This window comes from Homo sapiens, chromosome 18, assembly GCF_000001405.40.
Source record: "Homo sapiens chromosome 18, GRCh38.p14 Primary Assembly".
In the NCBI taxonomy this organism is placed as follows: Eukaryota; Metazoa; Chordata; class Mammalia; order Primates; family Hominidae; genus Homo; species Homo sapiens.
Window position 1 is genome coordinate 76942434 of NC_000018.10, and position 25358 is coordinate 76967791.

Genomic DNA, 25358 nt, shown 5'->3' on the forward strand with positions numbered 1-25358 from the left:
GATGTTCCTAAAAACAGAGAAAGGTGGTCTTACTTTACTTAAATAGTATTCTATTTTATAATTTTTTTAATTTTTTATTTTTTTATTATTTTTTTTGAGACGGAGTCTCGCTCTGTCGCCCAGGCTGGAGTGCAGTGGCACGATCTCCGCTCAGTGCAAGCTCCGCTTCCCGGGTTCACAGCATTCTCCTGCCTCAGCCTCCTGAGTAGCTGGGACCACAGGCGCCCGCCACCATGCCCGGCTACCTTTTTTGTTATTTTTTAGTAGAGACGGGGTTTCACCATGTCAGCCAGGATGGTCTTGATCTCCTGACCTCGTGATCCGCCCGCCTTGGCCTCACAAAGTGCTGGGATTACAGGCATGAGCCACCACGCCCAGCCTAGTATTCTTAAATAATGGGCAAATTTGGCTGGGTGCAGTGGCTCACGCCTGTAAAACCTAGGACTTTGGGAGGCCGAGGCGGGCGGATCACGAGGTCAGGAGATCCAGACCATCCTGGCTGACACGGTGAAACCCCGTCTCTACTAAAAATACAAAAAATTAGCCAGGCGTGGTGGCGGGCACCTGTGGTCCCAGCTACTTGGGAGGCTGAGGCAGGAGAATGGCGTGAACCCGGGAAGTGGAGGTTGTAGTAAGCCGAGATCGTGCCACTGCACTCCAGCCTGGGCGACAGAGTGAGACTCCGTCTCAAAAAAAAAAAAAAAAAAAAGAAGAGCAAATTTGAGTTCATAATAGCAAAAAATTTGGAATATATATGTTTTTATAAGTCCATAATTCTAATTTAAAACTTGAAAAGGGCCCAATTTTGGAAGAATATTGTGGGAGTAAGTGATAATTTTAATTCAGAGAAAATTGGCTAATTTTGAAATGTAATTCTGATTTATTTGTTCCAAACTTTAGACTCTTCAGGGGTGAGGAGGAGCAGGCCGGTGGTAGTTGTGTGTCCTGCTTGCCCACTGAAGTCTGACAGTTTTATCAGGAGGTGTAAACGTGCATGCAGAAAATCTATTCAAGAAAGCAAAATGATTTTTAGTTCTTATTCTGAATACAAGAAGAAGCAATTTACTTATTCATGAAGGGAATTCTCTTTTATACTAATTCTTGTCATAAAAAAACAAACTTATTATTACAGATAATTGGTCAGGTGCAAAACATTTAAAACTTTGTATTTAGGTATATAAATGTGGCTTTTTAAGTCTAAATTTGACTGTGGAGTGACCCAGAAATTGGCAAATCTTATTACAGACTCCTGATGGGAAAAGAAGCCAATTCTGAAGTAACAAGTTAGTTGTAAGTTTAACACTGAGAGTCATCTGGCCCATGCTGTTTAAAGCTTTCTTAATTTTGTGCCTTTCTTAGCCTTGATCTTCTACAAGTCGTTCATATTTACTCTTGTACTTGTAAATATCTTGACATTTTTATTGAGGCACAATGTTTTGTTTTAAGTTTATTAAGAGTTGTGTATAGGCCGGTAAAATTATGAACTGCTAAGAAAAATATTTCTAATGAAATTGTACATGTGAGCAGTAAGTGAGGTTGATTTATGGGTACTTGACAATGGTATAGTGAAGTTTGTTATTGCATAGAATGCCTTTCATCAGTATCCAGCCCTTGCTCATATTTTACAGCATTTCCCAGATTCAGTCGAACATTGACATTCCTGGGTCTCAGCAGGCCCAAGTTAATTCAGTAGTCATGGGTGGGGCTGGCGTCTGTGCTGTTCATTACCCACCTTCCCTGTGACTCTGACGCAGCTGCCCCAGCTGCCAGGGCCAACAGCTGTTGCGCCATTCCTCTCTGCTGGGGCTTGGTGCTTGCTGTTACATTCTCATGTTGCAAAATTCATGTGCTCCAGGGAAATGCAAATTCCTGTAATCTTTACCTCAGTGTAAACCAAATATAGTAAAGAAACCAACTGCAAATAATAATACAAACCAAAAGTAAATAACCTTTAGATTATATTGTTTTAGCTGATTTGTGTATCACTTCCATAAGTATAGCTAATCGTTGAGTATAGCTTTTATTGGACACTGATTTTTAAATCAGGGTATTTGCATTAAGAATACTTAAGGTTGGCTGGGGGTGTGGTGGCTCATGCCTGTAATCGCAGGCCGAGGCGGGTGGATCACCTGAGGTCAGGAGATCGAGACCAGCTTGGCCAACACGGTGAAACCCCGTCTCTCCTAAAATTACAACAAATTAGCTGGGTGTGGTGGCATGTGCCTGTAATCCCAGCTACTTGGGAGTCTGAGGCAGGAGAATCGCTTGAACTCAGGAGGTGGAGGTTGCAGTGAGCTGAGATTGTGCCATTGCACTGTAGCCTGGGTAACAGAGCACGACTCTGTCTCAAAAAAAAAGAATACTTAATTAAGGTTTGCAATTGAAACACAAATGATAAGCTAATAAATTACATTGTATTCAAGTTTTTTTAATTTAAGTTTTTATTTTGAGATAATTGTAGACTCATGGGCAATTTTTAAAAAATAGTACAGAGAGATTCCACATACACTTACCCAGTTTTGCCCAACAGGAGCATGTTGCAGAACTGTAGTATAATATCACAAACAGTTGTTATCATTGATAAGCCAAGATACAGAATATTTCCATCATCTCAAGGACCCCTCATGTTGCTTTTTATAATGACTTCAAGACCCTCTTAACCCTGACATCTGCCACTCTGTTCTTTATTTCTGTAATTTTGCTATTTCAAAACAACAAGAAGTTGTAATTTTTCCCTTGATATACCTATACAAGCTAAGACTCTCAAATATCTTACCTTTAGTTTGGGAATATATTAATTTATTGAGCCAATTGGTTCTTATGTGCATCAGAATTTCTGACCAGCAGTTTTTTTGGTCTTTGATTAATAAAACAAATGTGAATTAATAAGTCCAGGTTGATTAATACAGTTTTTCAAATTGGGTAGTCTGATAAGGGTGGTGGCAGCAGCTGTCAACAGACATGTCACAAAAAAGTATAGCATTCACCGGTATTTGAAAATAGCAATATTCAATCAACTTCTCTATGTAGGGAGGTAGGGAACATGAAGCTTTGTTAGTATAGGTAGGAACTTCAGGTGCAGTGGCTCACACCTGTAATCCCACCACTTTGGGAGGCCAAGGTTGGTGGATCTCCTGAGGTCAGGAGTTCCAGACTAGCCTGGCGAACATAGTGAAACCCCCATCTCTACTGAGAATACAAAAATTAGCCACACGTGGCGCATGCCTGTAATCCCAGCTACTTGGGAGGCTGAGGCACAAGAATCACTTGAACCCGGGAGGCAGAGGTTGCAGTGAGCTGAGATTAAGCCACTGCACTCCAGCCTGGGTGACAGCGCAAGACTTTATCTCCAAAAAAAGAAAAAGAACTTTTCAATTTAGATCATGTTTATGTAAAAAATTAGGCTGATATATGGAGATACCTAAAATAGCCTAATTTTGCTTTTTTAAAAAGCTGCATATGGGAAGTAAGGAACCCAAATCAAGTTAGAAGCTCTCTTTCTCTGGAATCCCTGATGATGACTGTATGTTTTTGGCTTCTATTTTGCCACCTGCCACTCTTTCCCTTAAGAAGTGAACCTAAAATTCTCTGATGGAGGAAGTTTTTAAAAATGCCATCTCAGTCCTATTTTTCCTCCACTGTGTCTGATATAGTTTGGCCGTGTCCCCACCCAGATCTCATCTTGAATTCCCATGTGTTGTGGGAGAAACCTGGTGGGAGGTAATTCATTCATGGGGGCAAGTCTTTCCCTTGCTGTTCTCATGATAGTGAATAAGTCTCATGAGATCTGATGGTTATAAAAAGGGGAGTTTCCCTGCACAAGCTCTCCTCTCTTTGCTGCCATCCATGTAAGATGTGATTTGCTCCTTCATGCCTTCCACCATGATCATGAGGCTTCCCCAGCCACATGGAACTGTCAGTCCAATTAAACCTCTTTCTTTTGTAAATTGCCCAGTCAAGGGCATGTCTTTATCAGCAGCGTGAAAACGGACTAATATAGCATCCCCTCCTCAATTCTTAATTTCCTTTTGGGGGCTCAGCTTGTGTAGTTCCCTAAAACATTGAGAAACACCCCTCACCTTAAAGCACAGGAGCCAAGAACATCAGCCATGCTTCCTGTGGTCAGCCACGGTTTTAACTGTGTGTAAAATATGTTTAGAATCAGTGCTGATTACAGCAGTTCAAGTTGCATGCTGAATTATTTCTATAAATTTGCAGTAGATATTCAGACCTTTTAAGCTGCAGCTTCCTCTCTGCTCTTGTGCCCCATACCACCCTACCTTTCTCATTCTCTCGTATTCTCTCAGATCTGCTCTCATAGCTAGAGGTGTGCTGGGCTGGTAAGAAGACTTACAGTAGTTTTCTATAGCATAGCAAAATTGTATATGTGTTTCTAAGCAAATAAGTGTTTTTTAAATATACACACATGTAGAGACTCTGAGATGTAATTTATATAAGTTCACCTAATTATTTAAAGTATACAATTGAATGGTTTTCAGTGTATTTACAGAGTTGTACAACCATCACCATGGTCTAATTTTAGAACGTTTCATCACCCCTTAAAGAAACGTGGAGCCATGAGCCATCACTCCATGTTCCCCCGACCCCCGGCCCACCCTCACCGCTGCCCCTGGCAACTGCCAGTCCACTTTCTGTCTCCGTAGATGCATCCGTTCTGGGTATTTCATAGAAATGTGATCATCCGTGTGGTCTTTTGTGACTGGCTTTTTTCATTCCTTAGAGTATTTCCAAGGCTCCTCCATGCTGTAGCATGTACCAGAACTTTGTACCTTCTTATTACTGAACAATATTCCCTTATACCACATTTTCATTTGTGCATTTATCGGTTGATGGGCATTTGGGCTGTTTCCATTTTTTGGCTATGGGTAATTCTCCTGTGGACATTTCTGTACAAGGCTTCTGTTTTCACTTCTCTTGGGTTGCTGGGTTACATGGTGACTCCACGGTTCACTTTTTGAGGAGCTACCAGCTTGTTTTCCAAGGTAGCTGCACCATAAAAGATCTTTTAAATTATTGCTTGTTTTGCTAAAGTTACAACTTCTGAAATAGTACTAATCTTTTGCCAGGGTCAGCAGTTCCCAGCGCTCCTCACGGATCCCTCTCTCTCGGGCCAGGGTGGAGCAGGCTCGCCGCAAGTCATACTAGTGAGCCACACGCCACAGTCAGCGTCTGCTGCTTGTGAAGAAATAGCCTACCAGGTACAGGATATTCCTTCATTCACAGAGCTTTTGTCGCTTTTAAAAACATACAGATTCAGAAGGGATGGTGGTAGAGGGTTATGGGCGTGCTGTGTGACCCAGGTGGCTGGGGCTGACTTCTGAGGTGTCCCCGGCTGAATCCTGAGTGGACATAGGCCCTGCGGGGGCGTGTGTTGAATGACAGGTACGATATCTCATTCGTTTTGTGATTTGTTTCCTAGGGAGTGAGGTTTTAATACCACAGAATTAGATGTAGCCACAGTGATACGTAAATCTAATTTTAAATTTATTAATATCTTATTATATTTGCCTGCTGATCAGACTTCACATATCCAGCCACTTGCACTTAGTTCTTCTGCAGATTTTCTAGTAACACCTTTGCAGATTCTGTTAAGTGTCATACACATTTTCATATACGTGTGTGTGCGCGCGCGTGTGTTCAAGATCTGTCATTTGGCTAGTCTTTTTTCTTAAAATACATGTTTTTGGGAGCCAAAATATTTAGTAAGCAATAGTCTAAATATGGAAGAGTCTAAAATCTCTTTCCTTAAAAGTTTCCAGGGTCAGAATTAAAGCACAGATGATGAATAATCTCTGAATTTAGGAAGCATTAAACATTTTTAGCAAATGAGTTTTCAAAATAATGACTTACCGGTTTTTCTGTAGAACAAGGGCTTTTTCACAAAGAGATGAGATATAACGAGCACTGGGGATGTCCTGCAGTTTGACCTGAGTAACCAGAGCTGTCTCACTGAATTTCAGTTTGTATAACTTTAGCACATTTGTGTCTGGGGTCCCCAAGACTGCCTTCAGGTTTGACGATTCACTACAAGGTCTCACTGGATTCAGAAAAATCTGATCTACTGGTGGTTGTGGTTTATACTTGTGGTTACAATGGAAGGGTGCAGGTGAGAACCAGCGGAAGGAAAAGGCACGTGGGGTGGAGTCCAGAGAACCCAGGCACGAGCTTCCCAGTGTCTGCTCCAGTGAGGTCACACGGACACTGCTGATTCTCCCAGGAAAGTTGTGTGACACCGCCTGCCAAGTGTCGCCCACTTGGGAAGCTCAGCTAAGCTCTGGTATCCAGAATTGTTTTACAATCAGTCATGTGGCCATGGAATGCCCGCGTGGTTGGGCTTAGCTATGCGGTCTCCAGGCCCCTGCCCCTCCAGGTCAAACGGATGCAGTGGTCCAGGTCCCCAGATGAAACAAAAACAGGCCTTCACCATAAGTCACATCATCAGCACAAACTATGTGGCATTGCCCAAGGTTCTGGGTATGAAATACACTCTTACCTACTAATAGCAGGATGTTCCAGGGGCTTATGGGTGATGCTCGGGAGCTGATCAGGGGCACTGTGGAGTGTGCAGGGTTTGAGCACCTCAGGCCTGGTGAGGTAACTGTTGACCACACACATTCATTGAGACAGAAAAAGCATTGGCAGCTTGGTCATATTTTTAAGCTCTCTTTCTCATGATGCTTTTGTAGTGAAACCTTATTAGTCTGGTATGTTTCAGAGTTCCTAAATCAGTTCCAAGGCACACCTTACCTAATTCCTATATTTTATGTGACTAGTAAATGAAACTACTTTGCTATTTTTTAACATTATGATTTTAGCATTTGGTTTAATATAGGTAGAAGAATAATGTTTGTAGAGTAATCCTATGTTAAGATTAGTTTGAAATGTCTCCACTGAAGTGATATATTCCGTTTTAACTTCCATATTCCATTAGATGGAAATGAGAGAAACCAAATATTAAAACTTGGTCTAGCTTGTAATTTTTTTCAAAATTTGACAGATTAAATATAAAAATGAGGTAGATAACCAATCTGTATGAGTGAATACAGGCATACCTCAGAGATAACATGCATTCAGTTCTAGAGCACTGCAATAAAGCGATTATCACAACAAAGTCATACATTAACATTATGATTTAGTTTTCTGGTTTCCCAGGGCATATGATGTTTATACTATACTGTAATAATAGTGTTCAGCAGCATTATTTCTCTTTTTTTTTTTTTTTGAGACAGAGTCTTGCTCTGTTGCCCAGGCTAGAGTGCAGTGGTGCAATCTCAGCTCACTGCAACCTCCGCCTCCTGGGTTCAAGTGATTCTCCTGCCTCAGCCTCCCAAGTAGCTGGAATCACAGGTGTGCACCACCACACCTGGCTAATTTTTGTATTTTTAGTAGAGATGGGATTTTGCCATGTTGCCAGGCTGGTCTCAAACTCCTGAGCTCAAGTGATCGCCCACCTCAGCCTCCCACAGTGCTGGGATTACAGGCATGAGCCACTGTGCCTGACCAGCATTACGTTTTTTTTTTAAATGTACATACCTTAATTTAAAAATACCTTATTGCTAAAAATGCTAACGATCACCTGAGCCTTCAGTGAGTTGTAATCTTTTTGCTGGTTGAGGGTCTTGCCTTGATGTTGATGGCTGCTGACTGATCAAGGTGGTGGTTGTTGAAGTTTGGGGTGGCCGTGACGATTTCTTAAAATAAGACAACAGTGAAGTTTGCTGCGTTGATTCTTCCTTTCATGAAAGATTTCCCCATAGCATGCAATGATGTTTGATAGCATTTTACGCAAAGTAGAACCTCTTTCAAAATTGGAGTCCATCTCTCAAAGCCCACTGCTGCTTTACTAAGTTTCTGTAATCTTTTAAATCTTTTGTTGTAATTTCAACAATGTTCACCGCATCATCACCAGGAGTAGATTCCGTCTCAAGTAACTGCTTTCTTTGCTCATCCATAAGAAGCAACTCCTTGTCTGCTCAAGTTATATATACCTTTAGATCCCTATCTGCTCAGTTATATATACCATGAGATCCTTATCTGCTCAGTTATATATACCATGAGATCCTTATCTGCTGAGTTATATATACCATGAGATTGCAGCAATTCAGTCATCTTCAGGCTCCATTTCTAATTCTGTTGCCCATTCCTCCACATCTGTAGTTACTTCTTCTGCTGAAGTCTTGAACCTCTCAAAGTCATCCATGAGGGCTGGAATCAACTTCTTCCAAACTCCTGTTAATGTTGATATTTTGACTTCCTCCCATGAATCACAAATGTTCTTAATGGCATATAGAGTGGTGAATCCTTTCCACAGATTTTCACTTTACTTTGCCCAGATCCATCATAGGAATCACTATCTATGTCGGCTACAGCCTTATGAGATGTATTTCTTAGTAAGACTTGAAAGTTGAAATTACTCCTTCATCCATGGGCTACAGTGTGGATGTCATGTTAGCAGACATGAAAGCAACATTCATCTCTTTGTACATCTCCATCACAGCTCTTGGGTGACCAGGTGCATTGTCAATGAGCAGGAATATTTTGAAAGGAATCATTTTTTCTGACCAGTAGGTCTCAGCAGTGGGCTTAAAATATTCAGCAAATCATGCTGTAAACAGACGTGCTGTCATTCAGGCTTTATTGTTTCATTTGTAGAGCACAGAAAGAATGGATTTAGCATCATTCTTAAGGGCCTTAGGATTTTTGGAATGGTAAATGAGCATTGGCTTCAACTTAAAGTCACTAGCTGCACTAGCCCCTCACAAGAGAGTCAGCCTGTCCTTTGAAGCCAGACACTGACTTTTCTGTAGCTATGAAAGTCCTAGAGCCATCTTCTTCCACTATAAAGCTGTTCTGTTTACACTGAAAATCTGTTGTTTAATGGAGTGACCTTCATCGATGCTCTTGGCTAGATGTTCTGGAGAACTTGCTGCAGCTTCTCCAGCAACACTTGCTGCTTCACCTTGCACTGCTATGTTATGGAGGGTGGCTTCTTTCCTTAGTTCTCATGGATTGACCTCTGCTAGTTTCCAGCTTTTCTTCTGCAGCTCCCTCACCTCTCGGCCTTCATAACATGGAAGAGAGTTAGAGTCTTGCTCTGGATTAGGCTTTGGCTTAAGCGAGGATTGTGGCTGTTTTGATCTGTCTAGGCCATTAAAACTTTCTGCTTATCAGCAACAGTGCAGTTTCACTTTCTTATCATTCATGGGCTCACTGGATAACACTTTTAATTTCCTTCAAGAACCTTTCCTTCATTTCACAAGTTGGCTAATAGTTTGACACAAGAGGCTGAGCTTTCAGCCTGTCTCAGCTCTCTGCGTGCCTTCCTCATTAAGCTTAATCATTTCTAGGTTTTGAAGTGAGGGATGTGTGACTCTTCGTTTCACTTGAACACTTACAGGCATTGTGGGATCATTAATTGGCCTCATTTTAGTATTGTTGTGTCTCAGAGAATAGGGAGGCCCAAGGAGAGGTGGGATGGCCAGTTGGTGAAGCAGTCAGACACAAACATTTATAGGTTAAGTTTGCCATTTTATGTGGGTGGGGTTTGTGGTGCCTCAACACAATTACAATAGTAACATCAAAGATCGCTAATCACAGATCACTGTAATAGATACGCTGTAATGAAAAAGTTTGAAATATTGCGAGAATTACCAAAATGTGACACACACACGAACTGAGCATGTGCCGTTGGAAAAATGGCACCAGTAGACTTGCTCGAAGCAGCCTCGCCACAAACTTTCAATTTGTAAAAACGACAGGATATCTATGGAGGACAAAAAAAGCAAAGTTCAATGAAAACAAGGTATGCCTATAATTAGTAAGAGAAATTCTCTTAGATGTTTTCTGTAAATTTCCCTTGTTAGGTTGTAGCACTGTTTGCCAACATTAATTGGTTTTAATCATGGTCTAATTTCATCCTAATGCTTTCTTGTCACAGATGGAATGCACATTGACGCTTCCAGGCTCTGACCTGGGCTCTGACCAGGGACTTGAGACACATGCCTGGGTCTGCCTCTGGCCTGTGCTTCTGGGAGGAAGCTGGGACCATTTGAAGCACCCTGGGTTTATCTGAACCCACGACAGAGTGGCTGGGAGTGCTGGCTGTAGCCTCTGGTGATGTCTGTGCATCCCTGCTCCCATGCTTTCTGGCCAGGAGCCCTCAGGCAATCCTACATCTGTGTGATGGCCTGTTTTTAAGACAGAGGTGGCCAGGCACAGTAGCTCACACCTGTAATCCCAGCATTTTGGGAGGCTGAGGCAGGAGGACTGCTTGAGCCCAGGAGTTCGAGACTGCTGTGAGCTATGATCACCACTGTACTCCAACCTGGGTAACAGAGCAAGTTGGTGTTTCAAAGAAAACAAAAAAACAAAACAAAACCCAAACCCCCAAACAGGGGTGTAGTTAGGACTACCTCATAGTGGTCAGAGATTGGGCATGTAATGTTCCCTGGCACAGAGCACAGGTCCTGGTCCAAAGTAAGCACTCAGGTAAGGACCCTGCTGGTGGCGTTGGAGCAGCTACTACGGCCTGGGGCTCACTTCGCTCTCTGGTGAAGTCCCTAGAGCAACAGCCTTTGCTTTTTAAAAATCCTTTTCTTCATGGTTCATCTGAAGAGAAATCCATACTGATCTGACAAGATGTGTACTCACAATGGAAAAACGTCTTTATCCTAAGAGAGCCATTGACAGACTGCCCCCTTACTCAGCCTGTCTTTACTAAAACGAATGAACTAATTTCTGCCTGACCCTTCCCATAAGGATCAAGAGACCTGACCTAACTTTGTTAGCAACTTCAAGCTATTAAATCAGAGGGGAGCCGCTGCAGCAAACTGCCTTTCTTCCTTCACTCACTGCTTAAGGGGCCATGGCCTTCTTTTGAAACTGGTTTTGCAGGAGAAAAGAGCCGACACTTGCTGGCCAGGTGCCTAAGGCCAGGCTCCCACTAGGCATGTGGTCTTATGTAGCCGAGCCCTTCCCACAGCCTGTGAGGTGTCTAAGTGTCACGGCCCCGTTTTACTCACAAGGATTCTATCATTTAAGGGTAGCTTTGAATAACTTAAAGTCACCCTGCCAATAGAGACAGAGCTGGCATTTGAATCCAGATCTGTCTTATCTCACTCTTCATGTCTGAATAGAAGAATATCGTTCTGAGCATTTACACCTGGATTTCCTGTTACTTGAGATCAGCTGGTCTCAGCTGGGAACTTTTTAGTAAGGGGCAGGTTTTTAGAGGGAGGTTTGGGGTCAGAAGGGTGATCATGTGCCCAGGTGTGTGTTGTGGGCAGCATTTCTTTGAAATATTGACCTTGTTTCAGTTCAGCAAACATTTAAGTTCCTGCCAGTGCCGGCCGCTGGACGCAGAGGATGTTGGATCCGCGCCCGTTCTTTCCGGGCTCATTAGGAGGTGGATGGAGAGGCCGCTTTCCTCCTTCTGCTTTCCAACAGCCACACTCCTCATGCTTGGGAGGGGGTGGACATACACGCTCCTACCCTCCCACCCCCATGCAGAATAACCTGCTGTGGGAAGCACATTATTTCTAGCTGTGGCCAAGTTTATGCCTCAGGCTTAAAAATCATCTCACACTCATTCTGTAACCGATTTCCCCTTCTCCTTTGGGCAAGTATGATTTTAGCAAGATTCTATTAATATAATTCAGTCTCTAGATATGTAGTTATGAAATTCAGCAGAACATTGGAGATTTGTTTCACAGTAGTAGCAATAATTCAGAAGCTTTGCTTCTGATGCGATTATGCTGAAAAATATTTTACAGAAATAGTTTTTAAAGTTTCGTGTGTTTGTTTGTCTTTCCTTGAATGATGTGGACCAGATATTGAATTCTCACATCTCATGAGTAAAATGTTTGGTTCAGAAACAATTTTCTGTGTGTTCATTGCCATGACTACTGGTAGATGCTTCGTAATACTGATGGAGGACATTAGGTCGCTCCATAACTACAGGTTTTTGTTTGAGTTGATGTTCTTCAGCATGCATTTATCTGCAGTTACACAACCAGCCTTTAGTGTCATTTATTCCTGTGCTTTTCAGACTTTTTTGACTCACATGGAATATATTTTATGCAGTGACCTCAACAGGCATGTGTTTCTGTCATTTTTCTTTACACTCACAGATATTCACATGTAGACACACACCTGACACAGGTGTCATTTTCTAGAATAACACCTATAGATACTCACCTGTAGACACACACCCGACACAGGTGTCCTATTGTAGAATAACACCTGCAGATACTCACGTGTAAACTCACACACCTGACACAGGTATCATATTATAGAATAACACCTACAGATATGTGTAGACAGACACCTGACACACAGGTGTCATATTCTAGAATGACACCAGTCCCTGCACATCTCACGAGGCTGCAATGTCTTTTCTGATCTTTTCCTTTGTTCCTTTTTTTCCCCATTCCATTTTTTAAATTATAGCACAGATTAATAATATAGCACCCTGTATAAATCTTTTTTGTTGTTTAAGTATTTTTCTTTAATGTTTACTTATTTCTTATATTCCAGAATTAATGAAAAAGTATTTGATAAATTAGGAATAATAAAAATGTGGACAGATCTCATTAATTTTCATTATAATTGTTTTGTTAAGCCATCACATAGAAATTTGCAAAACTGGAATCTGTTGTTTATAAAAGCTGAGTCAGCCAGGTACAGTGTCTCACACTGTAATCCCAGCACTTGGGAGACTGAGGCAGGAGGATCCTTTGAGTTCAGGAGTTCTAAGACCAACCTAGGCAACATAGGGAGACCCTGTCTCTACAAAAAATAAAAAAGTTAGCTGGGCATGATGGTGAGGTGGTGCGTACCTGTGGACGCAGGCGTGCGGGAGGGCTGGGGTGGGAGGATTGCTTGAGCCCAGGAGTTTGAGGCTGTCCTGAGCTGCGATTGTGCCACTGAACTCCAGCCTGGGCAAGAGAGCAAGACTTCATCTCAAAAAATTTTTTCAAAAATTTTAAAAATGATTTTTTCAAGTGGTGGTGGCATCCCATTAAGATGATTTGAAAACCGAATTGGTTGTGATCCACGGTTTGGAAAAAATGGTTTAATTCCATTAAAAGCTAGAAACACTTTTTGTTGTTACGAATTGTTTATCTAAAGCTACTACCAGTAGCGAGCATTTAGTGAAAGCTTGCCGTATGCAGCCCTTGGTAGGCAGGTGTTCTCCCATGAGGACGCGACCACGGACTGGTTAAGTACTTAGCCCAGAGTAGCCCGGATAGTCACATTGGAGCTGGAATTTGCACCTGGTCAGTGCGGCGCCAGAGCTCATTCCTTAGCTGCTGTTGTGTGGTCTCAATCTTGCAGGACACAGTGTGCATTCTGGTCTCATATTGTGTGGAAGGCGCCTCTGGCTAAATTATCCTGATGATAGGACATGCAGTGTGGGCTTGGCGTGTCCGTGCTAGGAATGTCCCTCTTATCACCACGGTGTGTGTCAGTTCACAAACTGCACAAATCAAGCCAAGTGAGTGGAAAGTCACAATTTCTGGCTCTTTCCAGGTAGCTGGCGTCTCTGGGAACCTGGCCCCGGGCAACCAGCCAGAGAAGGAGGGCCGGGCGCACCAGTGCCTGGAGTGTGACCGCGCCTTCTCATCGGCGGCGGTGCTCATGCACCACAGCAAGGAGGTGCATGGCCGGGAGCGCATCCACGGCTGCCCCGTGTGCAGGAAGGCCTTCAAGCGCGCCACGCACCTCAAGGTAGGCCCACTGTGCCAGGGCACAGCTGTGTGCCCCCCAGGCGGCTAGAGATGCGGAGTCCAAGATTTAACACTGGCCGGGAATCTGGCATGTGTTTTTGAGGAAAAGGCCGGTTTTTGAGGAAAAGGTCACTAGATGTAGATGTATTGTTCCGGTTGTAAGAGGTCTGCTTGCTGTACAGATGAATTGCATGTTCACCTGCAACTCACAATCAATTTGCAAGACAAACTGAAATAACATTGAAATGCCCTCTCTCCCTTGTCAGACTGGCAAAAATGTAAAAGTCTGTCAGCACCTGTTGTTGAGGCTGTGGGGAAACAGAGGCTCGCTCACGTAATTGCTAGTGAGACTGTGACTTGGTTGGACTTTCTGTAGGGGCATTGGGCAGCCCTAACAAATGCATGTGTGCTCACCCTGGGGACCAGCCCTGAAGATGCCCCTCCAGCCTCCCAAGGTTTAGCTGCCCACGCTTTCCACTGCAGCAGAGCCATCATTGCACAGTGGAGACCTGAGTGCCCGCATGTGGGAAGCAGAGGATGAGTTCTGGGACATCCCCACAGAGGGTGCTGTGCTACAGTGGGCAGGAGGCAGAATTCCAGCAGGGTGCTCTGATATCCAGCCCAGGGCGCCGTCTTCCGTGTGAAGGGAATGGGGTGTGGAAGGGGTGGAACACAGAGGAGCGTGCAGCACGGATGCCTAGCCAGCACCACTCCAGCCCAGCGGCCGTGGGCAGCATCAGCACCCACACATCAAGACTGCTTCTGTCCTTGGCAGTGTGGGATGAAAGTGGCACTTTTCCCAAAAACCCCGTAACATGAGAAAAACAGACAAATTCCAAGTGAGGGATAGCCTGCGAAATTTCTGACCAGCCATGGCCAGGCCACGCAGAGGGCAGAGGCGTGCCACGCTGGCCGGGAAGGAAAGCTGCACTAAGATGGCTGGACCCTTGGGGTTCCTGTGTATGTTGGGGGGGTGGGGATTGTTTTTGGCCTTTGTGTGTCTGTTGTCTTTTAATGAGTGTAGGACTAGAAGAAGGGAGAGTCCTACTCAAGGAGGAATTCCTGTCCCAGAAACTGGAATCCTTGGATCCCTGTGACCAGGATGGCTTTTTTGGAGTGTGGAGTAGAGCACATGGGCTTTGGATGTATTGCAGGCCAGTGGTGTCAGCAGTGACGGCCCTGTCCGGGCCAGGAAGCCCAGGGCCCCACCTGTGGTGCTTGCGGTGGCTCCTCTCCCAGGTCCCTCCAGGGGCTGGTGAGCCCCGAGACCCTCAGTCCTCCCTCTCTGTCCTGAAGGGAGCCTGTCGCTTGGCTGCTTGGGTTCTTTTTCATTTTTAAATTTCTTTTACTTTCACTTTAGGTTCGGAGGTGCATGTGCAGGGTTTGTTATACAGGTAAACTCAGGTCACAGGGGATTGTTGTACAGATTATTTCATCACCCTGGTACTAAGCTAAGTAGCCAATAATTTTTCCTGCTCCTCTCCCTCCTCCCTCAAGGAGGCCCCAGTGTGTGTGATTTGCTCCTCTCTACGGGTCCATGTGTTCTCACCATTTAGCTCCCACTTATCAGTGAGAACATGTGGTATTTGGTTTTCTGTTTCAAGATGGATTGAAGACTGAAATGTAAAACCCACAACTCTAAAAACCCTGGAAGACAACCTAGACAATACCATTCTGGACAGAGGAACAGCAAAGATGTCATGACGAAGACGCCAAAAGCAATTGCAACACAAGCCAAAGTTGATAAATGGGATCCAGTTAAACTTAAGAGCTTCTGCACAGCAAAATAAACTATCAGCAGGATTCTTTCTTTTGAAACCTTCTGATGAATCTCCCTGCCCCAGGGCTGCATTAGCGTCCTCTGGTGCAGTGAGCTGACGGCCATGTTGGGGGGCTCTGCTGAGTCCCCACCAACTTCAGGGCACAACACCGCCCCTTCTTAGAAATTCACACCTCACTTGTCGCTTGTAGCAGAGCCAGGCCGACAGGTGTGTTGCAGTAAGAACGGTATTAACTACAGCTGATCGCAAACTTATTTGATGATGAAATTCTTTCTTGAGGAACATTTGCCATTGTCTCAGAGAGCACTTTCTAGGGAGAACTAGGTTTACGTAACCTCTGCCACAGGGTAAGCCTAACTGCACCCTTCGAGGAGTGCAGCTCGTCGGTATTTCTTTTAAAGTCATCAGCATAGAGTGGCAGCTGCGTGCACTGTTCCCACCGCAGGAGATTTCTCTGGAGGTCAGAGAAACAGAAGCCAAGGTTATAAAAGCTTTCCTTTCAGCCCACTGGACAGTCTGTTCCCCCGTGGACTCTCTGTCCTCCTTTCAGCTTAGCAAACAGTGAGTGCCTGCTGTATGCACAGAAGGTGGTCCCAGAAACAGGCGGCTCCATCCTCAGGAAGCTTAGCACTCAGTGTGACCGCAGTTACATCCAACACAGACCGGGTGGGAACCCCAGACGGAGTGGGGGAGGAATGCACTCTAGCTGTTGATGGTGATTGGTGTCATCAGGAGTGGTGGTGTCACTGGTCAGGCCTCACCTGCAGTCCTGGCTCTGCCTGGTCTGCAGTGCTGGGAAGGCTCCCCCACTCACCTCCCGAGTTTGTTTTTCCCACCCTGCTGCTTTCATTACACCCACCTCCCAGACTGTGCTGGGCCTTGAGCAGTGCGACATACGCAGCTGGAACACAGGCGGTCACATGGAACACACACAGGAAACGTGTACTTTTCCCTGACTCCTGCCTTACAGGGTAGAGGTTAGCTCTAAAGACTGAGATTCTATTAGGATAATTATTATGCTTCTGCAATTTTGGAAAATAACCACATTGCACATCCTCAGGTGCCTGCAAGGGCAGCAGCTATCAGATCTTTGAGAAATTTGCAGTCACGTGAATGCAGTATCTCTGGCAAGTTGCCAATCACAACAGGAGAAGGGAACAGTTTCCTCTTGGCTTTAAAAGCCTCTGTCGTATCACCGGGAGAACGCACTTCAGAATCATGGGCATTCCGTGAGGACTTGTGGGTGAGAGTCACTGAACGGGTCCCAGCTGGGTGCCGCAGGGCCTCAGGCCACAACCTATGGGTGGCCTCAGGCCACGACATATGGGTGGACTCGTGTGTGAAACGGGGACAGGATCCCCCACAGCCAACGGAGAGAGCTCACCTGGACTCCTGCACTAGGCTCATGGCATGACGCCCTTGGTCTCGGTTAAAGCTGATGAAGGAGATATTTCTACCCCTATTTGGGACACAGATGTGGCCAAGCCATATAGCTAGCAGGCAGTAAAGCTCAGATGGGGACCGGAGTCTCCCCGAGAAGCCCCAGTGTTGTCACTCTGTTGTCACTACCGATGCATTGAAGTCCTTAAGAACACAAATCACAGATTAGCCTTTGATTTTGTCCTTGCCACTGACTTGAACTTTGCAGTGATTTGCTTCCTCTTGTTTCTAGTCTCGAAAGCTGTTTTGATCTTGTTTCTTGGTTTCTGTGTGTTGTCTCCCAGGAGCACATGCAGACACACCAGGCCGGCCCCTCTTTGAGCTCCCAGAAGCCAAGAGTGTTTAAATGTGACACTTGTGAGAAGGCATTTGCCAAACCAAGCCAGCTGGAGCGCCACAGCCGCATACATACAGGTAACGGGGAAGGACGTGCTTTTGTTTCCTTACTCTTTGAAGTAGACATCATGGGTGAGAAAACATAATTCCACCTGTGCAATATTCACGAGCGATGGAATGCTTTATTTATAAAGCAAGGTCCACATGTTCCATTTCTCCTGAGTTTTGACCTATTTATTGTCATAACTAACTTTTCACATGGAAGATTTTGCTGCTTACATTATGACCATATGAAACAGAAGCATCAGGCAAGCCTCCCGTGCCGTGTCTGGGATGTTGACCATGTCACGTCCCTCCTTCCCTTCTGCTGGAGCAAACAGGCGGCCCCCAGTGCCTGGGTCCCATGTCCTCAATGTCACCGGGGAACTTAATTTTTAATCTTCCTCTTCTGTCTTAAAACTTTTTTTCTCTGCTGGCTTTTCCTACACCACCTAAATCTGCTCAAACCTTTTGTCTTAGAGAAAAAAAACACACGGAACAAAGAAACAAGCTCTTCCATCTTCTGCCTCTTGACTGTACATGATAGCTCGTGTCAGCCCTTCCGTCTCCGCCCTGCCCTAACAGGACATCATCCCGGGCTCATTTCTGTTGTGATCATCTGACGACTCACTGTGGGCCTGGGGTTCCACAGGCTGCATCCACCGTGGCCCTTCCATGGCTCTCTGATCCCTCCGCCCCATCTGCTGGGGGTCGTTAGGACCTGGCCAGGCTCCCTCTGGTCTCCCTATGGCTCCTCCAGCCCTTTGTTCAGATGACAGCCAGGCTGAAAGCCTAAAAGAAAAGAGGAACATTCAGTCCCTCTTGTTCATACCTCAGGGTAGAGCCCAGGCATCCACTATACTTTTCTTAGAGACATTGACATATGCCATTTTCTGTACAGGGGAGCGGCCGTTCCATTGCACGCTTTGTGAGAAAGCCTTCAACCAGAAGAGTGCGCTGCAGGTGCACATGAAGAAGCACACGGGGGAGCGGCCCTACAAGTGTGCCTACTGCGTCATGGGCTTCACGCAGAAGAGCAACATGAAGCTGCACATGAAGCGGGCGCACAGCTATGCTGGTGAGAATGCTGCACCCGGGAGTGCGTGCTGTTCGGTGGCCTGCGAGGCACCCTGTGTTTCGCATACATTGTTTCCTTTAGTTCACACAGTGATTTTGCATTGCACGTGGTACAGCCTCAGTTGTGTGGACTGGAAGCTTGTGCTTTATTTTATTTTTTGATTTCCATAGGTTATTGGGGAACAGATAGTGTTTGGTTACATGAGTAAGTTCTGTAGTGGTGATTTGTGAGATTTTCGTGCACCCATCACCTGAGCAGTGTACACTGCACCCTATTTATAGTCTTTTATCCCTCACCCCCTTCCCATTCTTTCCCCCCGAGTCCCCAAAGTCCATTGTGTCATTCTTATGCCTTTGTATCCTCATAGCTTAGCTCCCACTTATGAGTGAGAACATGCGATGTTTGGTTTTCCATTCCTGTGTTACTTCACTTAGAATAATGGCCTTCAATTTCATCCAGGTGGTTGCAGATGCTATTAATTCATTCCTTTTTATGGCTGAGTAGTATTCCATTGTGTGTGTGTGTGTGTGTGTGTGTGTGTGTGTGTGTGTATTTATGTATATAAATACCACAGTTTCTTTATCCACTCGTCGATTTATGGACATTTGGTTTGGTTCCCTGTTTTTGCAGTTGCGAATTGTGCTGCCATAAACATGCGTGTGCAAGTGTCTTTTTCATACAATGAAAAAGATTCTACTTATTTTCCTCTGGGTAGAGATACCCAGTAGTGGGACTGCTGGATCAAATGGTAGTTCTATTTTTAGTTCTTTAAGGAATCTCTACACTGTTTTCCATAGTGGCTGTACTAGTTTACATTCCCACTAGCAGTGTGGAAGTATTCCCTGTTCACCACATCCATGCTAGCATGTACTATTTTTTTTTTTATTTTTTGATTATGGCCATTCTTGCGTGAGTAAAATGGTATCACATTGTGGTTTTGATTTGCATTTTCCTGATCATTAGTGATGTTGAGCATTTTTTCATACGTTTGCTGGCCATTTATATATCTTCTTTTGAGAATTGTCTGTTCATGTCCTTAGCTCACTTTTTGATGGGATTGTTTGTTTTTTTTCTTACTGATTAGTTTGAATTCGTTGTAGATTCTGGATATTAGTCCTTTTCAGATGTATAGATAGTGAAGATTTTCTCCCACTCTGTGGGTTGTCTGTTTAGTCTGCTGACTGTTCCTTTTGCCATTAAAAAGCTCTTTAGTGTAATGAAGTCCCAGCTATTTATCTTTGTTTTTATTGCATTCACTTTTGTGCTCTTGGTCCTCGCCGAAGCCAATGTCTAGAAGGGTTTTTCCAATTTTATCTTCTAGAATTTTTATAGTTTCAGGTCTTAGTTTTTTTAATCCATCTTGAGTTGATTTTTGTATGAGATGAGATATGAAGATCCAGTTTCATTCTCCTAACGTGTGGCTAGCCAATTATCCCAGCACTGTTTGTTGAAAAGGGTGTCCTTTCCCCATTTTATGTTTTTGTTTTCCTTATTGAGGATCAGTTGGCTATAAGTATTTGGGTTTATTTCTGGGTTCTCTATTCAGTTCCATTGGTCTGTATGCCTATTTTTATACCAGTACCATGCTGTTTTGGTGACTATGACCTTATAGTATAGTTTGAAATCAGGTAATGTGATGCCTCCAGATTTGTTCTTTTTGCTTAGTCTTACTTTGGCTATGTGAGCTCTTTTTTGATTCCATATCAATTTTAGAATTGTTTTTTCTAATTCTGTGAAGAATGATGTTGGTATTTTGATGGGAATTGCGATGAATTTGTAGATTGCTTTTGGCAGTATGGCCATTTTCACAATATTGATTCTACCCAACCATGAGCATGGGATGTGTTTCCATTTGTTTGGGTCATCTGTGATTTCTTTCAGCAGTGTTTTGTAGTTTTCCTTGTGGAGGTCTTTTACCTCCTTGGTTAGGTGTATTCCTAAGTTTTTTTTTGTTTGTTTGTTTTTGTTTTGTTTTTTCCAGCTATTGTAAAAGGGGTTGACTCCTTGATTTGATTCTCAGCTTGGTTGCTGTTGGTGTATAGAAGAGCTACTGATTTCTTTACATCAATTTTTTATCTGGAAACTGCTGAATTCTTTCATCAGTTCTAGGAGCTTTCTGGAAGAGTCTTTTGGGTTTTCTAGGTAAACAATCATATCATCAGCAAACAGTGATAGTTTGACTTCCTCTTTACTGATTTGGATGCTCTTGATTTTCTTCTCTTTTCTGATTGCTCTGGCTAGGACTGCCACTGCTATGTTGAAGAGGAGTAGTGAGAGTGGGCATCTTTGTCTTGTTTCAGTTCTCAGAGGGAAAGCTTTTAACTTTTCATCATTCGATATTATGTTGGCTGTGGGTTTGTCATAGATGGCTTTTATTATTGAGGTATGTCCCTTGTATGCCGATTTTCCTGGGAGTTTTAATCATAAAGTGATGCTGGATTTTGTCTGATGTTTTTTCTGCATCTGTAGAAATGATCATGTGGTTTTTGTTTTTAATTCTGTTTATGTGGTGTATCACATTTATCGACTTGCATATGTTAAACCATTCCTGCATCCCTGGTATGAAACCCACTTGATCATATGGTGGAGTATCTTTTTGATATGTGCTGGATTCGGTTAGCTAGTATTTTGTTAAGGATTTTAGCATCTATGTTCATCAGGGATAATGGTCTGTAGTTTTGTTTTTGGTTATGTCCTGTCTTGGTTTTGGTTTTGGGTGATACTGGCTCCATAGAATGATTTAGGGAGGGTTCTCTTTTTCTCTGTCTTGTGGAATAGTGTCAAAAGGATTGGTACCAATTCTCCTTTGAATGCCTGGTAGAATTCTGCTGTGAATCCATCTGGTTGTGGACTTTGTTTTGTTGGTAATTTTTAAATTACTATTTCAATCTTGCTGCTTGTTATTGGTCTGATCAGGGTATCTAATTCTTCCTGATTTAAGCTAGGAGGGTTGTATCTTTCCAGGAATTTATCCATCTTTCTAGGTTTTCTAGTTTATATGTGTAAAGGTGTTCATAGTAGCCTTGAATGATCTTTTATATTTCTGTGGTGTCAGTTGTGATAGCTCCCATTTCGCTTCTTATTGAGCTTATTTGGATTTCCTCTCTTCTTGGTTAATCTTGCTAGTAGTCTATCAATTTTATTTATGTTTTCAGAGAACCAGCTTTTTGTTTCAGTTATCTTTTGTTTGTTTGTTTCAATTTCATTTAGTTCTGCTCTAATCTTGGTTATTTCCTTTCTTCTGCTGAGTTTGGTTTTGGTTTGTTCTTGTTTCTCTAGTTCCTTGAGGTGTGACCTTAGATTGTCTGTGTGTGCTCTTTCAGGCTTGATGTAGACATTTAGGGCTACGAACTTTCCTCCTAGCACTGCCTTTGCTGTATCCCAGAGGTTATGATAGGTTATGTCACTATGGTTGTTCAGTTCGAATAATTTTTTAATTTCTATCTTGATTTCATTTTTCACCCAATGATCATTCAGGAGCAGGTTATTGAATTTTCATGTATTTGCATGGTTTTGAAGGTTCCTTTTGGAATTTATTTGCAGTTTTATTCCACTGTGGTCTGAGAGAGAGCTTGATATAATTTCAATTTTCTTAAATTTATTGAGGCTCATTTTGTGACCTATCATATGGTCTGTCTTGGAGAAAGTTCCATCTGCTGTTAAATATAATGTATATTCTGCAGTTGTTGGATGGAATGTTAGGTATATATCTATTAAGTCCTTTTGTTCCAAGGTATAGTTTAAATCCATTTTTTCTTTTTTGACTTTCTGTCTTGATGACCTGTCTAGTGCTGTCAGTGGAGTATTGAAGTCTCCCACTATTATTATGTTGCTGTCTATCTCATTTTTTAGATCTATTAGTAATTGTTTTATAAATTTGGGAGCTCCAGTGTTAGGTGCATGTATGTTTAGGATTGTGGTATTTTCCTGTTGGACAACGCCTTTTATCATTATATAATGCCCCTCTGTCTTTTTTAGCTGCTGTTGCTGATGACAATGCGACTAAGCAATGATATTTTTGCAGTGAATTTCCCAGGTGTTCTTTGTGCTTCTTGTATTTGGATGTCTAGGTCTCTAGCAAGGCCAGGGAAGTTTTCCTCGATTATTCCCCCAGATATGTTTTCCAAACTTTTAGATTTCTCTTCTTCCTCAGGAATGCCGATTATTCTTAGGTTTGGTCGTTTAACATAATCCCCAGACTTCTTGGAGGCTTTGTTCATATTTTCTTATTCTTTTTTCTTTGCCTTTGTTAGATTGGGTTAATTCGAAGACCTTGTCTTCGAGCTCTGAATTTCTTTCTTGTACTTGTTCTATTCTATTGCTGAGACTTTTCAGAGCATTTTGCATTTCTATAAGTATGTCTATTGTTTCCTGAAGTTTTCCTTGTTTTTTATTTATGCTATCAATTTCATTGAATATTTCTCCCTTCACTTCTTATATCATTTTTTTGATTTCCTTACCTTTGGCTACACCTTTCTCTGGTACCTTCCTGATTAGCTTAATAACTAACTTCCTGAATTCTTTTTCAGGTAAATCAGGGACTTCTTCTGGGTTTGGATCCATTGCTGGTGAGCTTGTGTGATTTTTGGGAGCTGTTAAAGAGCCTTGTTTTGTCATATTACCAGAGTTGGTTTTTCTGGTTCCTTTTCATTTGAGTAGGCTCTGTCAGAGGGAAGGTCTAGGGCCGAAGGCTGTTGTTCAGATTCTTTGGTCCTACGGGGTTCTCTTGATATAGTACTCCCCGCCTTTTCCTATGGCTGTGGCTCCCTGAGAACAGAGCTATAGTGATTGTTACCTTTATTCTTGGTCTAGCCGCCCAGCAAGTCCACCTGGCTCCGGGCTGGTACTAGGGGTTGTCTGCACAGAGTCCTGTGATGTGAACCATTCATGGTCTCTCAGCCATGGGTACCGGTGCCTGTTCCGGTGGAGATGGCAGGGGGGTGAAATGGACTCTGTGAAGGTTCTTAGCTTTGGTGGTTTAATGCTCTATTTTTGTGCTGGTTGGCCTCCTGCCGGGAGGTGGTGCTTTCCAGAGAGCATCAGCTGTGGTAGTATAGGGAGGAACAGGTGGTGGGCGGGGCCCTAGACCTCCCAAGAGTATATGCCCTTTGTCTTCCGCTTCCAGGGTGGGTAGAGAAGGAGCATTGGGTGGGGGCTGGGCTAGGCGTGTCTGAGCTCAGACTCTCCTTGGGCGGGTCTTGCTGTGGCTGAGTATTTGGGGTGTCTCCTGGGTCCTGCAGGAGCAATCCACTTCCTTCAGAGAGTCTGTGGGTCCTCTCAGGTTTCCTGATTTATTCCCCTAGTTGTTTGGGAGCAAAAATTCACAATGTGAGCCTCCTCATGCTGCTCTGTCCCTTTGAGTCGGAGGTGCAGTCTAGTCCTGCCTCCCATCCGCCATGATCTCTGGAAGCCTGTGCTTTTGTTACTTTAATAGTTAGTGTTTGCAGTTGTTGAAGTTGGCTATGGACTGCCCCCCTTCACACACACACACACACACACACAGAGACACACACACAGAATTTGATTAGATTAAATTTATATTTTGGCAAGGGCACAGAAATTTATTGGAGTAAAATGGCAGCCCAGAACCTGAGCAAGCGCAGCATTTCTGAGCAGCTCGTTTCTCACTGGACAGAGCTTTCTGTAGGGGCCTTCAGCACCTGGCCAGTCAGAGGCCCAGAATAGCATCTCTGTCTGTCTTCACATCATGTCTGGAAGCCCCTTTTCCTGCAGCATGCAGTTCAGGTGCTGTCTCGGTGCTCAGGGGCACAGAGCAAACAGAATCTGCACCAACTGCTCCTGTCTGCATCCTGTTGACCTGGCACAGACAACACGTGGGCCTTGGTTTCTCTCTTGATTCGCTAACGTTCATGCCCTTCAGAGTATGGATATTGGGGTGTGATCCTACTGCTTGTCTGTCCCTTGTTCACCTTTGTTTCCTACACAGAATCTAGCAGTGGCATCCATCTCTGAGGAAGGAATGATAATAGATGGCCTAGACTAGGTTTCAGAGGGTGGCAGTAGCTATGCAAGGAACTAGAAATGTTAAAGTCTGAGTAGACCCCTTGGTGTGCTCCATGCATTTTGCGGGTGTGATTTGATTGTTCGAGGTGGTATGCTCTGTGAGATCTGTGGTTTGTTTGGTTGTTGGAGGTGATGTGATTCGTGAAATGTGTTATTTGGTTGTTGGAGGTGATGTGATTCGTGAGATGTGTTATTTGGTTGTTGGAGGTGATGTGATTCGTGAGATGTGTTATTTGGTTGTTGGAGGTGATGTGATTCGTGAGATGTGTTATTTGGTTGTTGGAGGTGATGTGATTCGTGAGATGTGTTATTTGGTTGTTGGAGGTGATGTGATTCGTGAGATGTGTTATTTGGTTGTTGGAGGTGATGTGATTCGTGAGATGTGTTATTTGTGATTTGGTGTTAGGGGTGGTGATGTGATCTGTGAGATTTTTGTTTTGTTGTTGGAGGTGGTGTGATCTGTGACATTTGTGATTTGTTGTTGGAGGTGGTGTGATCTGTGAGATTTGTGATTTGGTTGTTGGAGGTGGTGTGATCTGTGAGGTTTGTGATTTGTTGTTGGAGGTGGTGTGCTCTGTGAGATTTGTGATTTGGTGTTAGGGGTGGTGATGTGATCTGTGAGATTTGTGATTTGGTGTTGGAGGTGGTGGTGTGATCTGTGAGATTTGTGATTTGGTGTTGGAGGTGGTGTGATCTGTGAGATTTGTGATTTGGTTGTTGGAGGTGGTGTGATCTGTGAGGTTTGTGATTTGTTGTTGGAGGTGGTGTGATCTCTGAGATTTGTGATTTGGTGTTGGAGGTGGTGTGATCTGTGAGATTTGTGATTTGGTGTTGGAGGTGGTGGTGTGCTCTGTGAGGCTTGCAGGTGTTCTTTGGTTGTTTGAGGTGCGGTACTTTGTGAGGGGAGCTCGA

The 25358-nt window shown here is 43.7% G+C and overlaps 1 protein-coding gene across 5 annotated transcripts in view, besides 2 other annotated features; it reads left to right on the top strand.

Moving 5' to 3' along the window:
- The window catches only part of ZNF236 (zinc finger protein 236), a 150345-nt gene that overhangs the window by 119877 nt on the left and 5110 nt on the right, over positions 1 to 25358 (top strand). For all 5 annotated transcript variants that reach the window (NM_001306089.2, XM_011526165.4, XM_047437793.1 and 2 more), the window contains 4 exons: positions 5088 to 5219; positions 13552 to 13749; positions 17254 to 17383; positions 18246 to 18422. In NM_001306089.2, coding sequence (NP_001293018.1) covers positions 5088 to 5219; positions 13552 to 13749; positions 17254 to 17383; positions 18246 to 18422 — 637 coding nt within the window. The remainder of the gene's footprint in view (positions 1 to 5087; positions 5220 to 13551; positions 13750 to 17253; positions 17384 to 18245; positions 18423 to 25358) is intronic.
- Positions 21789 to 21838: a silencer, noted in NCBI's record as "silent region_9562". NCBI's record gives its function as "represses an Ori minimal core promoter by ATAC-STARR-seq in GM12878 lymphoblastoid cells {active_cell/tissue: GM12878}" and the evidence as "EXISTENCE:reporter gene assay evidence [ECO:0000049][PMID:35858748]".
- Positions 24072 to 24740: an enhancer, noted in NCBI's record as "NANOG-H3K27ac-H3K4me1 hESC enhancer chr18:74678461-74679129 (GRCh37/hg19 assembly coordinates)". NCBI's record gives its function as "activates a minimal SCP1, AML or CMV promoter by ChIP-STARR-seq in naive H9 embryonic stem cells {active_cell/tissue: H9 hESC(naive)}" and the evidence as "EXISTENCE:reporter gene assay evidence [ECO:0000049][PMID:30033119]".